Genomic DNA, 13918 nt, shown 5'->3' on the forward strand with positions numbered 1-13918 from the left:
TGTTCTTTTTAAACATGTCAGGAAGTTTAGGCACAGAAAAATTCATTTGTCCAAACTTCAGACAATAGAGTCCAACATAAACACAGACAATAACAGTGACACTTGAAATAGTCAGTGAATTGGGCGATCAGTATGTAGCTAGGACACCAGCTTCAGCCTAAGTTGAACTTACCATAGGATATTGACATCTTTTGGGGTCCTGGAGACGTGGCGGGGAGAGGGTTCAAACTAAGAATGCTCCTTGATAAAGAGAACATATTGAGGGAGAACATGTTGAGATGCTTAAGTGAACAGCCAAAGGGGAAAGGGTTTTTTGAGTATGTGCTGTGCCTATTATTTGCATAACCCCACCCTCTGCTTAGGGAGAGAGGGTTGTAATAAAGAGCAAAACTTGAGTTAGACATGACACTAAAATTTCTGTGACAGACTGGGGCAAAAGCGCCTTATCTATTGGGGGTTCTAACAAGTAGAAATGACCAGAAAGGACTCTTTCCAGAATTAGTAAATATTGGAAGCTAGAGGAGGTAGGAAGTGGCTTCATGGCAACACTGCAGCTGTGCTTTTCATGATCATTAATGGATCTGATGGAATAAGACAGTGGAAAATGGTGAGTATTGGGCAGTAGCTGAGAGTTCTGTGTTAATGGGGGAAATGTGAGGGTATGAGAGGTGCTTGTTCTTATGATCAAATTGGTGTGAACTGAGTAAAGACAGCTGATTATTTAATATTTAGAATCCAAGGAAGATTCTCCCTGAATTGTAAATTGGCAGCCTCACTGGGCACACTGGCTGATGCCTATAATCCTAGCATTTTGGGAGGCCCAGGTAGGCAGGTGGCTTAAGCTCAAGAATTTGAAACCAGCCTGGGGAACATGGTGAAACCTCATCTCTACAAAAAATACCAAAAAATACCCAGGCATGGTGGTGCATGTCTGTAGTCCCAGCTACCCAGGAGGCTGAGGTGGGAGGATCATCTGAGCCCAGGAGGTTGAGGCTGCAGTGAGCCATGATTACACCACTGCACTCCAGCCTGGGTTACAGAGTAACACCCTGTCTCAAAAAAATAAAATTAAATTAATGAATAAATAAGTAAACTGGCAACCTACTTAGCCAAAATATACAATCTTTCTATTCTTTATTATTATTACAACTTTGTGTAACATGTTGCCTGTAGACATTTAATAATCTTGCTCATTAATTGAGACCTAGATGAACAAATAGTATCAAGTTCCCATGGTTCCTTATTTGGGCTTTCCCCTGCTGTGTGCAAAGGTTCTATATGGTTTTACTAGATCCATCAGTCAGAGCTCAGCCAGGAAGATTGAAACAACTTGAGGAATTTCTAATGCAGGTAACAATGTAGAAAATTGGTTACTTAATATTGGAGGATCTAAAAGAGCAAAAAGGAGAGGGTTTGATCAGTAACTGCAAGATGATACTTCTATCCTGTCAGTGACAAGACTGAAAGGGAAAATACTATTCAAGAGCCCATAATCTCTGCCATTAAAGCTGCTGGATAATCTCCGGCTGCTGTCAGAGCCACCATTGCCACTACTTGGCAAGACCATAGAAGTAACCTGCTTCTTCTGCTACTCTGCCTATACACTGCCTGAAGCCAAGAGAGGAAAAAATGCCCACAATCCTTAAAAAAAAAACAACAAAAAAAACTTTATTTTAAGATCAGGGGTATATGTGCAGAATGTGCAGGTTTGTTACACAGGTAAACCTGTATCATGAGGGTCTGTTGTACAGATGATTTCATCACCCAGTTATTAAGCCTAATACCCATTCGTTATTTTTCCTGACCTTCTCCCTCCTCCCACCCACCACCCTGAGAGGCCCCAGTGTGTGTTGTTCCCCTCTATGTGTCCATGTGTTCTCATCATTTAGCTCTCACTTATAAGTGAGAACTTGCGGTTCCTGTGTTGGCTTGCTGAGGATAATGGCCTCCAGCTCCTTCCATGTCCCTGCAAAAGACATGATCTCGTTCTTTTTTATAAAATGCTCTCAAGCTTATTCCCACCGTCCAATTTCCTGGTAGGACCTCCCGCTAGGAGAGTATAAGAAAGCTGCTTGGTAAGGAGGGAATCTTGTTAAAAATAAAGTTCGCAGACTTTCAGCTTGCTTATAAGAGAGAAACACAGATGCATGAGCCTGGAGCTGATAGCCAACAGACAAGCAATCAGCCCTTTGGGTTACCCAACTCAAAGTTAAGCAGGAAGCCAACAATATTGCAATAGTCCTGTTAGATTAAATTCCATTGCCAAATAGAATTTGTTTCATAAAAATTATAAGTGATTGCTACATAGTGTAACAGGTAACCACCAATTTTCTCCTCTTGTTTTGGGATCCATAGATATAGCTGTGAAAGGCTTGCTTCTATTTACAAAAATTTTAGTTGAAAAACATTTATAAAAACAAGAAAATATACATAGTATATTACAACCAATAATATACAGTCAGTATACATAACATATGTTTTATTAGATTAAGAAAAAGTGCAAGAAAGGAAATCTAATGTTTGTCACAGGGCCAAATACAATATCTGAGGATAAAATTTGATGAAAATAGCATTATGAAAATTCACTCCTATTAGATGATGGCTTTTTCATGTCAGCTTGATAACTTCCAGGAAATAAATGAAGGCATTTTAAAAATCAAAGTGATATAATCATATAAGTGGTGCCTTATAAAAATTCTTAATGGTACAGTATACCAGCTCCAAACTATGACAACATTAACCACATCAGGAGAAAGTAATGAATTATAATAAGTCTGGAGACAAGCAAAGAAATAATTAACATCTCTGAATCAATTTTACGGAGCTATTATCTTAATTTTGTGGTATTTTGAATAGAATACAAAATATTGAGTAATAAAAGCAAGATATTAATTAAACAGGGGTGATTTCTGAGACTTGTTAGTACACATGCTACCTTTTTTTGTTTCGTTGGAGACTGGAGTGTTACACTTCATTTTCGGACAAAGTAATCATCTACTTTTCCAAAGCAAGTTAGCAGTCAGGTAGAATCTAAATGACAAATACCATCTCTCCTCACAGGTGATATCTACAGACCACACATTTTACGAAAGAAGGATCAAGTCCAAATTATTACAATTTATTTATTCACACTGATAGACTATGCCACACACTAATAGGTGGTTCAAAGCAAAAGCTATATAATTGGTTTTGGATTTCCCAATCTCCTTTATTTCTAATCAGTATCTACTGTTCCTAGGCCAAGGATCCTGTCCTGTGAGGAAGCTAGTAGTATCACTCCTCCAAGCCCCAGAGATGACTCTGGTTTGGTGGAGACAGTGGATAAAATGTCTGAGCAGACAAGAGAGGCAGCCTCTAGACACACTCCCCCTGCAGGAGTTTAAGGGCCTGAGGCTGGGGAACAGCTACCAGCACCAGCAGCAATGCCCTGGAGTCAATCTTATGAAGCTTAGGAACTTTGAGCAATCACTATCATTCAGGTGATCCCTTGCAACAAACAACCATGATGTGCAGAGAGGGAAGGCACTGTAACTAGAAGAGAATATTGGATACGCTTGCCTTATTATGTAGTCTATTAGTAATCCCAGGACAGCCTCTAGCCAAAAAAAAAAAAAAAAAAAAAAAAAAAAAAAAAATGTCTTAAAGCTTAGTATACTTGATTTGGTATTTCACCTTTCCTGTGCCTGCCTCCCCAGTCAATCTAAGTGTTTATCCTGATTTCCTCTTAGAGAAGACATGTGCTTACTCTTTGCAATATTTGCTATGTTTATGAAATACAGGGTGCAAATTATATATTTCATAAAGGAGAGATACGTTTGTATTAACAGCATGATCTTATGCTTATAATCTCTCTTTAATCTGGATGTGAGTGATTATATGAAAGTGAGTGCATAATTTAAGTTGGTAATTTTTTTCTGTCTTATCGGTACACAAAGTGATGGCATATTTTACAATCTTTGGTGTTATAGATTAGATAAAATATGTAATTCACTTAGTAAATGTGAAATATTGCACAAATTTCAGACCCCTACTGCATAAAATGTGGAGGTCAACACTTAACTAAAATGATTTTTTAAAGTTTCTTCCGCTTTCAAAACCTGTCGAACTATTTACTAGATCTTCAGCAAAAAAAGGTACTTGGTAAAGAAATTGAGATACCAATGACAAATAATCTATCAAGCAAACTTAAGTTATTGTTCAAAATTAGTAGGCAGGAAATAGTTTAGTTGAGGACAAGACCAGGCTGCCAAAGACAGAGAGAGAGTGACCGAGAGAGAGAGAGAGAGAGAGAGAGAGAGAGAGAGAGAGAAAGCTTAAAAGCCCAGAATAAAACTGCATATACAATATTTAACATGTTTTAATATTTCTTGAAATGCACACACTGTATTACCTGAGCTGCTGAAGTGAGTAGTAGCCAACACAACCCTTCTCCATATCTCATATTTTAAAGAACTGAGAAGTTACATTCATAATTTATAAATCAAATTAGAAATTTTCTGATTGGAAAAAAGAAGAAATTTGGTGCCCCCCAAAAATGCCTGAGAATGTATCCCTGTGGATGTTGACCTGGGGAAAGCCATTTAGTCATTTCATCTATTGAAGATAAAATTATTTTGATCCTCTAAGCTATCTCAAAATTTGAATGTCTTCTGTGTTATGATAAAATGCCCTTTCCCTTTAGCCTTCTGCAACAGAGTGCACTCAGAAAGCCTGCTAGATGCATTACAGAGACACATCAGGCATTCTGCAAGCTGAAGATTCTCCACTTTGATCTCCCAGCAAGCTGACTGTGGCACAGTGTCCCCACAGAGTTGAATGCACTGCACAGGAGGGTCTTTTAACTAAAGTGCACACAGGGAAAATTTCATGAGGTTCTTATGAAGTGGTTTGTTTTAGCTCTGAATGGAGGAAAAGAAGTAGAGAGGAAAAGGGAAAATGGTCTTATGACATAAAGATCCAGTTGGACCTGGTGTGATTTTTATCATCTTAAAGCCTGTTTGAGAAGACTAACCTCAAAGTATGAGACTGTCTCAATACAGCACATAAAAAATGGAAGGCAAAAAGTAGCTGGTCTGTAAACAACCCACAAAGCAAATTGCCAGTTGATATTTTCTGAACTAGAATTCTTTGAGTTACAATGGGAACAGCTTCTCGGTATATACAGAGCATGAGTCTTCTCTTTGGTTCCAACGGAGCTTTGTTATGACTTGTAATGAGCTGAACATTGTAATGCATGTTCTAAAAAAAAAAAATTGACTGTGACTGTGTGTGCAAAAATACAATGCACATGCACCAGGATGTTAACAAAACAGCACCTGCACAAACTAAGATTGCAACTCTATTCTCAGCTTATCTTTGCTTTTCACTCACTGGGATCATTTCTCTTTCAATGGGAAGGAAAGCCGCACATGCAAGCAGAATTCCTACATTAAACTGGAGCTACCACTTTTATATGAATCAGAGCTCAGTAAACACAACAAAAATCTGAAAAATTTTAAGTCCAAATATTGTCTGTCACATAAATACAATAAGCTTCCACAATGTTAATAGCAATAGATGATAAGTAACACAGGCTTTTAAACCTGAGGTTGGAATTTAAGAGAGGTACTACACAATTATAGGCTATTTAAAATTGTTTTAAGTTGACTATACACATAAGAAGTATTTGTTCAAACTTTAAAGCTGTCCTTAAAAATAACATCATTAATAGAGTTATAGAAATTAATGTACAGATGAGTGAAAATACATAAATAGCAAAAAATGATCATGTTTATTTGTCCTTTAAAAATGCCAATAGTTAACACAGTTCTCTAAATCTAATCCATCATCTGTTCATGGTACACAAGTGACAGATTTGCTGATTGAGAACAGATAACCCAGGTAAACAATAAAAACCACCACAACAAATAGTGAATGCTCATATTCCTAGAAGTACTATGCCTTGTGCTAAATACTTTAAATTTTTATTTAGTCCTTCAGCGCTCTGTTGGGGAGGTACTTGTTGTGCTTTGAATTTAGCAGATGACCAACCTCAGGGTTCAGGTTTATGAACCTTGCCCCTGTCGCATAGCTAGTAAGCAGCAGAGCTGGGCAGTGTGGCATCCCACTCCTCCCCTAGATCTAGTCATCACATATTTCTCAGTCGCTATACCTATAATAGGAAAAGGGCAAAACGACGTTGAGGATGCCGTTATTTGGGCAAATGTACATTTTTTAATTGTGGGAAGTGAGAGTGCTTTCTATAGTAAGGCCAGTTGGAAGTGAAGAGTGAGTATCCCTAATCTGAATCATTACAGTATTACAAAATGAAGACTTGAAACAACCAAAGAACTTCATATTGCAAAGAGTATTAGAGGGCATCATATCCTACCCAACATAGTGGTTCTGTCCAGTGCATTCCTGACAGATGGCTGCACTTGAACACTTCCAGTGATGGGGCATTCACCACCCACTAGGCAGCTTATTCCAATTTTGAATGACTTGAATTTTTAGAAAGGGCATCACTACATGGAGCCAAAAATCAGAGCTACTATCACTTCAAGTAATTACTACATGCTGTATCACTTGATCATTGAAGAAACTATTGTCTCACTGTAAAATATGGGAGGTAAAGTATATACAAGGGGCAGCATATTTAATTGCATAAGTGGCATGTCCAGGTTTGGATTTCTTCCTCAGTTGTGTCGATGCCAGTGAAATCCAACAGCAAGCCTGGATTATACTGCATAACCCCAAATAAAATTTACCAGCAAACCAAGGGCATCCCACATCACATAATTATTGTACTTCGTTGTATCAGCTTAATGTCTATTGTGTTGGTAAAGACATATCAAATATCTGATTGAAGCCAGATTCAGAACTGGGCATGGTAGCAGCAAACATGCAGTAGGTCTGTGAACAGGTAATTGCCACTATAAACCCTCTAAGTGAGGCACGAAGGAGGACATGAGCTATAATTTATACATGTAGTGTGTAATGGAGGACACACAGACAGCTGATGGGTGACTGTGGCTCCTCACACTGCCAGCTTGCCTTAGAGGGCAGGGCTGCTGATGGAGCAAGGCATGGTGCCCATTGCACGTGCCCATTCCGTACATCCAACCAAAGAGACTAAAATTCAGGGAAAATATTTGCTCTCAAAGCAAACAGAATCAGCATACACTTTAATCTGTTCTATAGATACGCAGTGCCGCCTCTTAACCAAATGCCTTACTCTTGAGCAGTTCACTGCACTCTGTAACCAAACGTCAGACAGGACAGGAGAATGTAACTCCTTCATTTCTAGAGAGAAGTGCAAAGTTTGCTCATATTGCCCAATATTTTACATCCCTTGTGTCTAAAATTAAAATCCCAGCAGTGACCCAGGCTTGACTGTATTCTAAATAGAAGCTACATCAAAAGAGCTTAGGAGTCTGGCTTCCTAAGCCAGGGTCATGAATTGATACTTCACTGCTGACTTCTTCTGCCCCAATCTCTAAGAGAAGCTCTAGCTGGCCTCCAGAATTGGCAAAATTCTGTGATGTCTCTCTAAATCGAAAATCTATTGTTAAAAACAAACTTCTTTTAAGAGGTTGACTAATTTTTGTGAGTATCCATAGTTTTTATCAGCATCCATAGACATCCAATGTCTTCTGACATTAATTTTATTGAGTTTTTAACTCAAAAGTTATGTTAAATGCATGTTCTTGTCTTTTTGCATTTCAATCTATTTTTTAAAATATTTGAAAGTATTTGAATTTCAAAATAAGCTGTCACCTATTACAGGTTATCCCAGAAGTCTTAGTGGAGTTTTGAGCTTTCATAACTTAGGCAGAAACAAATGCTACAAACTTCCGAAGACCATTTGTCATATTTCTGGTTACCTTTCCTCTAGGCTCATGCAGTTTTGTGAATTTTTCAAAATCTGTTTTTAACTTTTTCCAGTTTCTCTTACTGAAAATGGTACACACTGACTAGAAAAATAAAATAAAAAAATCAGTTAAGATTCCCAAAATTGCATACATATTAAAAATATAAATAATTACTATTTTAAGAGACACTTGAACAAGACAGTACATTCATACTTCTGAAATAATTAAAGCTCAAAAGTGAATTAAGGGTTTTTGAAGACTCTGTATAATGTTCCAGTTCTGGAGCCCTGCAGAGACAGCGTATGTCAGGTGGGAATATAGCAACCCAAAAGCCATCTCTGTATTTACGCTTCTTTACTCACTGCCTGAAAATGAAGAAGCATAACATAGAAAGAGGACCCCCATCTTTAAGACGTCATTTCCACTTTGTGAATGCATAAATTAATGGTGGAGAAGTTTCAAAAAGAGCATCTTCCCCAGGTCAAACCCTGGGCTCTGCCCCACGGCACATGATTCAGATTTAGAGAGCAACATTTCACCCACCATATCGCTATCGAATCTAATCATAATGAAGACAGAAGAGATTTTCTTACTTGAGCACATAAAGTCAAAGCTTACAAAGAGTCTGCTTGGAGAGATTTGGGCATATATGCAGACTTGATTCATTCCTTCTACTCTCAAGACTAGAAAAATCTAAGAAAGTTGAGGGTTGCGCTCAAGTTTGTATTCCCCTTCTTTAGGCCCCTTTTCTGCCTCCTGCCTTCCCAGCTCCTCAAAGAGACACTGAATGTCACCACCACAGAAAAATCAAACCAGACTGTGAGAAGGCCAAAGAACTCTTTACCACTCAGTTTATATGAAATAGTCAAGCAGAAAACAATCTTTCAGCCTAGTCGCATTGACTCATTTCATGAATGAGAAAAAGGGAAGAACATTTTTATCATACTGTGTTTTATCAATCTTGGGATAAAAGTCTGAGCCGGAACTTAAGCATTCCCCTCTCAAAAGGGTACGGTGTCAAAGACACCACAGAGATAGCTTATGTTAACCACATAGACTGTCATCTAGCTGCAGGTAGGGACCATTCTATTCATTGTCCAATCACTACCACAGAGCTGGTACATGGACTACGATCAGCAGATGTTTGTTTCACAAAATGTAGCTCTCGGGACAATATAAATTTTTTTTTTGAGACGGAGTCTCGCTTTTTCGCCCAGGCCGGACTGCAGTGGCGCTAACTGGGCTCACTGCACTCTCCACCTCCCGGGTTCACGCCATTCTCCTGCCTCAGCCTCCCGAGTAGCCGGGACCACAGGCGCCCGCCACCGCGCCCGGCTAATTTTTTGTATTTTTAGTAGAGACGGGGTTTCACCGTGTTAGCCAGGACGGTCTCGATCTCCTGACCTCGTGATCCACCCGCCTCGGCCTCCCAAAGTGCTGGGATTACAGGAGTGTGCCACCGCGCCCGGCCAATATAAATTTTTATGTTATAAAAAGCTATTAGAGTATGTTAATCTTTTGCTTCCACATATTCTGGGTTGGATAAAAAAACAAGAATGTTTTTAGAGTAAAGGGATAATACTGTATTCTAATTTTGATGGAAAGAACAAATTCCAGGAAAGAATTGCAATCATTCTGGTTTAAATTTTTAAAGGAGGAGGAGGAAGGGGCACACAGGAAGACAAAGTGCGCTGAAAGAAGAAAGAAGCCTAGAAAATAGCACAGAATACTGAGAGACACAGAAGAGAACACGAAGAGATTGCAATGGGACTGGGACTTGGAACCACTTTCTGTACATGTTGTTTTAAGTATTAATTTTTGTGTAAATGGCATATAAGATCCTCATCCACCATCTACATAAAAGATTGTGGTGCCAAACAGGACTGCCCCGTGTGGGCTTTGTTTCCAAGTCAGCTTTCTCACAAGCATCTCTCCATTTTCTGACAAATGAACGGAACAAGTTCATTGGAACAAGGAGGGTGTATTGTCTCTATTTGCCGTTGGCTGGTTTGCTTCCTTGGGGGACTTAATGAAGGAGCAGCATTTGGACAGGAGGGAAAGAGCTTTGGAGTTGTCAAAAAGCACTAGTTAAAAAGCTTCAAACTGGGTCTTGCCAGTGTGTAACTGCTGTGGAAGAAAACATTTGAAAACAAAACATGCATTTTTAATAAATGGAGACATAAAAGTTATTTTTATTTGATCTGAGCCTGACATTATTCTGTGCTTCTAAATTCCTTTGGATACACTAGAAGTTTCAATTCCCATGTCATCTTCAGAGTGCTTTGAGGAATGTGAATATTGTGCAATTATCTTTTGGATGAATGGAAAGAAAAGGTAATCTTTCCTTGAATGATAACCTTTACTCAGCCTTAAATATACAAGAAATGCTTCATTTCTCACTTTCTTTATCTGACACACTGAAACAACACCAATAATTGTTTAGGCCTCTTGCAGAGATTCTCTGCTCCCTATTTTGTATCAGAAGTTTTTATAAATGTTTCTCACGTGAAGTTTAAATTGATCAGCATTTAACTAGGTAAATTGGAGACTTCTTTGTTTGCAATTCTTTCTCAGTCTTTTGCCCATAAATCAAGGAACTGAATGGACTTAAAGACCTCCCATCATTTTGTAGATGATGAAACTGAGACCCAGAATGTCTGATATTTGTGCAAGACCACCTTGCTAGTTCTGCAGACCCAAAACACACCCATTCTTCAAGACTTCCACTGTTTCTTCTGCTTAATAATAAAACATACACCATAAAAAGCAGTTGCTGTTTTTTGAGGCACAGTGCTAATGCTTTAAATATATTAAGATATTTTTCTTCATTATCTCCTCACAAGATAATTATTATTCTCTTCACTTAGATAAGAAAGCTGGTAAGAATCCAAAAAGGTAGCATAACTCACCCAATGTTACAAAGCTGGACAGTGGCAAAACCTGAACTAGAACACAGCTCAGACTGACCCCAAAACCAGAATAGCTAAGCTAACATATCCCTGAAATTCAAAATAGAATGAAAACCTGAATATGAAAATAGAAACAGAGGCACACGTCTCCTTGGGTACCGTAACAACAACAACAACAAAAGTGAAAATCAGGCTGTTTCTTGAACTAATGGGAAGAAATCCAATCTAGATATTAGAGTCCTTGCCAGTTCCATAAATCACCTAACTGAGGAATATTGGGAAAATTCAGCCTCACTGAGCCTTGGAGTCATGCTCTCTAAGGCCAGTGTTAATGCTACCTGCTCCACCTCCTTCACCAGACCACCGAGAGGTTCAAATGAGAAAGATAAATATGAAGACGTTTCCAAATAATTATCAGATAATTATAATTTTAAATTCTAAGACCCACTGGAAAGGGTCTCAAAATTATGCACTTCTTATTAATTGCAGAAATAAATAGATAGATGAATTAATACAAAAATTAAAAAATGAACATTTCTCCACCATGTTGCTTCGGGGAAAAATTACCTAAAAGATTTGCTTCTCTGATTTGAGAATCCTCTTGCTATTTATATGACGCCAAGAAATACTGAAAGCAAATGAGGGTGTACTTGGTTGATTAGTGTGCTCCCCGAATCATAGCTACCCAGAACCCCAGAATGTGACTTTATTAGGAAATAGTATCTTTATAGATGTAATTACTTAGAGATCTCGAGATGAAATCATTATTGGATTTAGGGGGATGATTTCCCTAAAACCAGTGACTGGTGTCCTTATAAGAGGATAGGACACAGAGACATACAAAAGAAGGCCGTGTGAAGGTGGAGGCAGGGATGGGAATGATGTTGCCATAAGTCAGGGAACACCAAGAGCCACCAGAAGCTGGAAGAGGCAAAAGATTCTCTCCTAGAAACCTCAGAACACATGTGGCTCTGCTACCACCTTGATTTCAGACTTCTGGCCTCTAGAACTGTGAGAGAACAAATGTCTGTTGTCTTAAGCCACCTAGATTGTAGCTGTTTGTTCCAGCCCTAGGAAACATATAGAAAAGGTAACGAGCCTTCATCAGTTATGTTCTCAAGTCACCAGGGAGGTGGCTTCTCCTCCATGCCCATCCTCGGATGCTCCCCTGAATGGGTGAGGCTCTTTGGACAGTACTGTACCAGTTGTTTATAGGCAATTTCCACTCCAATTGATCAGGGCTCAGCTGCTAAATAGGATAAATATCTTAAATATCCCCTCAGCTCACAGGTATTATAGGGAAGCAGTATTCAGTTGTAAATATATGATTCACTCTAGCTGCTTATCTATTATTATGTTTGATATAATTTTGTGTTCAGAGCTTTTCATGAATAGACATGCTGGATGGAGCTAGAAGCTCATCTGAGTCAAGAATGAAAATGTTGGTGATAAAAATTGCACATTTTAGATTTGAGCACATCTTATGGTCTCAACAGAAAAGGTCCCCGGGATGATAATTACTTTTACTTTTCACCTTTGCTACAAAAATAATATAAAAGATAGGAAATGGGAAAGAGCTGCTTCAGCTTATTAAAAAAGAGACGGTGGGCATATTTTTTAAACTGTTTACATATTAAGGGGCTTGAGATCACCACCATGGTCAAAGGGTACTGGGACTCTGCACAGAAGACCCTCAATTAATATTTGATGGAAGGACAAAGAATAAATGATTTTTACATATATCTTACCTTAGTAAAATTACTATAGGATCTGCTACAGTATGTGATCATACAGACTGAAATATTTGGCAAATTATAAAACATTTATTTGCATATAGGGCAGTAGGAGGTGGACATTTCTTAGGCAGGGTCAGTTCCGGGAATACCCTGCTCTTCTTCCCTTTTCTTCCTAAAAAAGTGAGTTCATGTTCTTTGCAGGGACATGAATGAAGCTGGAAACCATCATTCTCAGCAAACTAACACAGGAACAGAAAACCAAACACCGCATGTTCTCACTCATAAGTAGGAGTTGAACAATGAGAACACATGGACACAGGGAGGGGAACAACACACACCGGGGCCTGTCAGGGGGTGGAGGGCAAGGGGAGGGAGAACATTAGGAGAAACACCTAATGTAGATGAGGGGTTGATGGGTGCAGCAAACCACCATGGCACGTGTATACCTATGTAACAAACCTGCACGTTCTGCACATGTAGCCCAGAACTTAAAGTATAATTTTTTTTAAAAAAAGCATTTATTTGTATATAGGGCAGTGGGAGGTGGATATTTCTTAGGCAGGGTCAGCTCCGGGAATACCCTGCTCTTTTTCCCTTTTCTTCCTAATTCCTCCTATGTCACCAGTATTAAGGACATCTTAACCAGACAGATTAAAAGGCTAAATAACCATGAGGGGCTGTTGGGGAGAAGCATACAGCTTAACTGTAATGAAATTATAATGTTTAACACTCTTTACCTCACTGATCCTGTGACTATACCCTAAGGCCCCACCCCACGTATGTCTTCCCCAACAATAATGAAGGCAAAAGAATAGAAACAGGTGTTCCCCATGAATGCCTGGACCCCGAGGGCACCACCTGTGTCCGCATAAATCCAACGCAAACAGTATCCAGCACAGTTGTGAGCAAGGTTATAGGACTCATCATGGTCCCCTGCCAAGGCAGGAAAATGAGGACAGGTAATCTGGCTCTTTTAAGCATCAGAGATACACTGCCAAATACATGGAAGGGGACAAAATTCTCTTCCTTCTTGAAATTCTTAGCGAAAGAAGTAGAACTCAGCCAATACAAAATGAAACTTCTAAAAGTGGATTAAAAATATCAGGCTGGGCACGTGGCTCATGCCTATAGTCCCAGCACTTCGGAAGGTCGAGGCAGGAGGATCACTTGAGCCCTGGGCAACATGGTGAGACTACTTCTCTACAAAAAATTAAAAATATTAGCTGGGTGTGGTGGTACATGGCTGTTGTCCCACCTCCCCCAGAGGGTGAGGTAGGAGGATGACTTGATCCTGGGAGGTTGAGGCTACAGTGAGCCGTGATGGTGCCACTGCATTGCAGCCTGGGCGACAGAGCAAGACCCTGTCTCAAATATACATATATCAAACAGTTCTCAGAGTACACATGGCTTTATTTTACCATGT

The 13918-nt window shown here is 39.2% G+C and overlaps 1 long non-coding RNA gene across 1 annotated transcript; it reads left to right on the plus strand.

The window, feature by feature from the left end:
• Positions 1–511: 511 nt before the first annotated feature.
• Positions 512–10039, plus strand: LOC105374960 (uncharacterized). The gene is made up of 2 exons (NR_134615.1): positions 512–607; positions 9505–10039. It is a non-coding gene; the product is annotated as an uncharacterized LOC105374960 (long non-coding RNA).
• Positions 10040–13918: the final 3879 nt, after the last annotated feature.

Source organism: Homo sapiens, chromosome 6 (assembly GCF_000001405.40).
Source record: "Homo sapiens chromosome 6, GRCh38.p14 Primary Assembly".
NCBI classification, from domain to species: domain Eukaryota; kingdom Metazoa; phylum Chordata; class Mammalia; order Primates; family Hominidae; genus Homo; species Homo sapiens.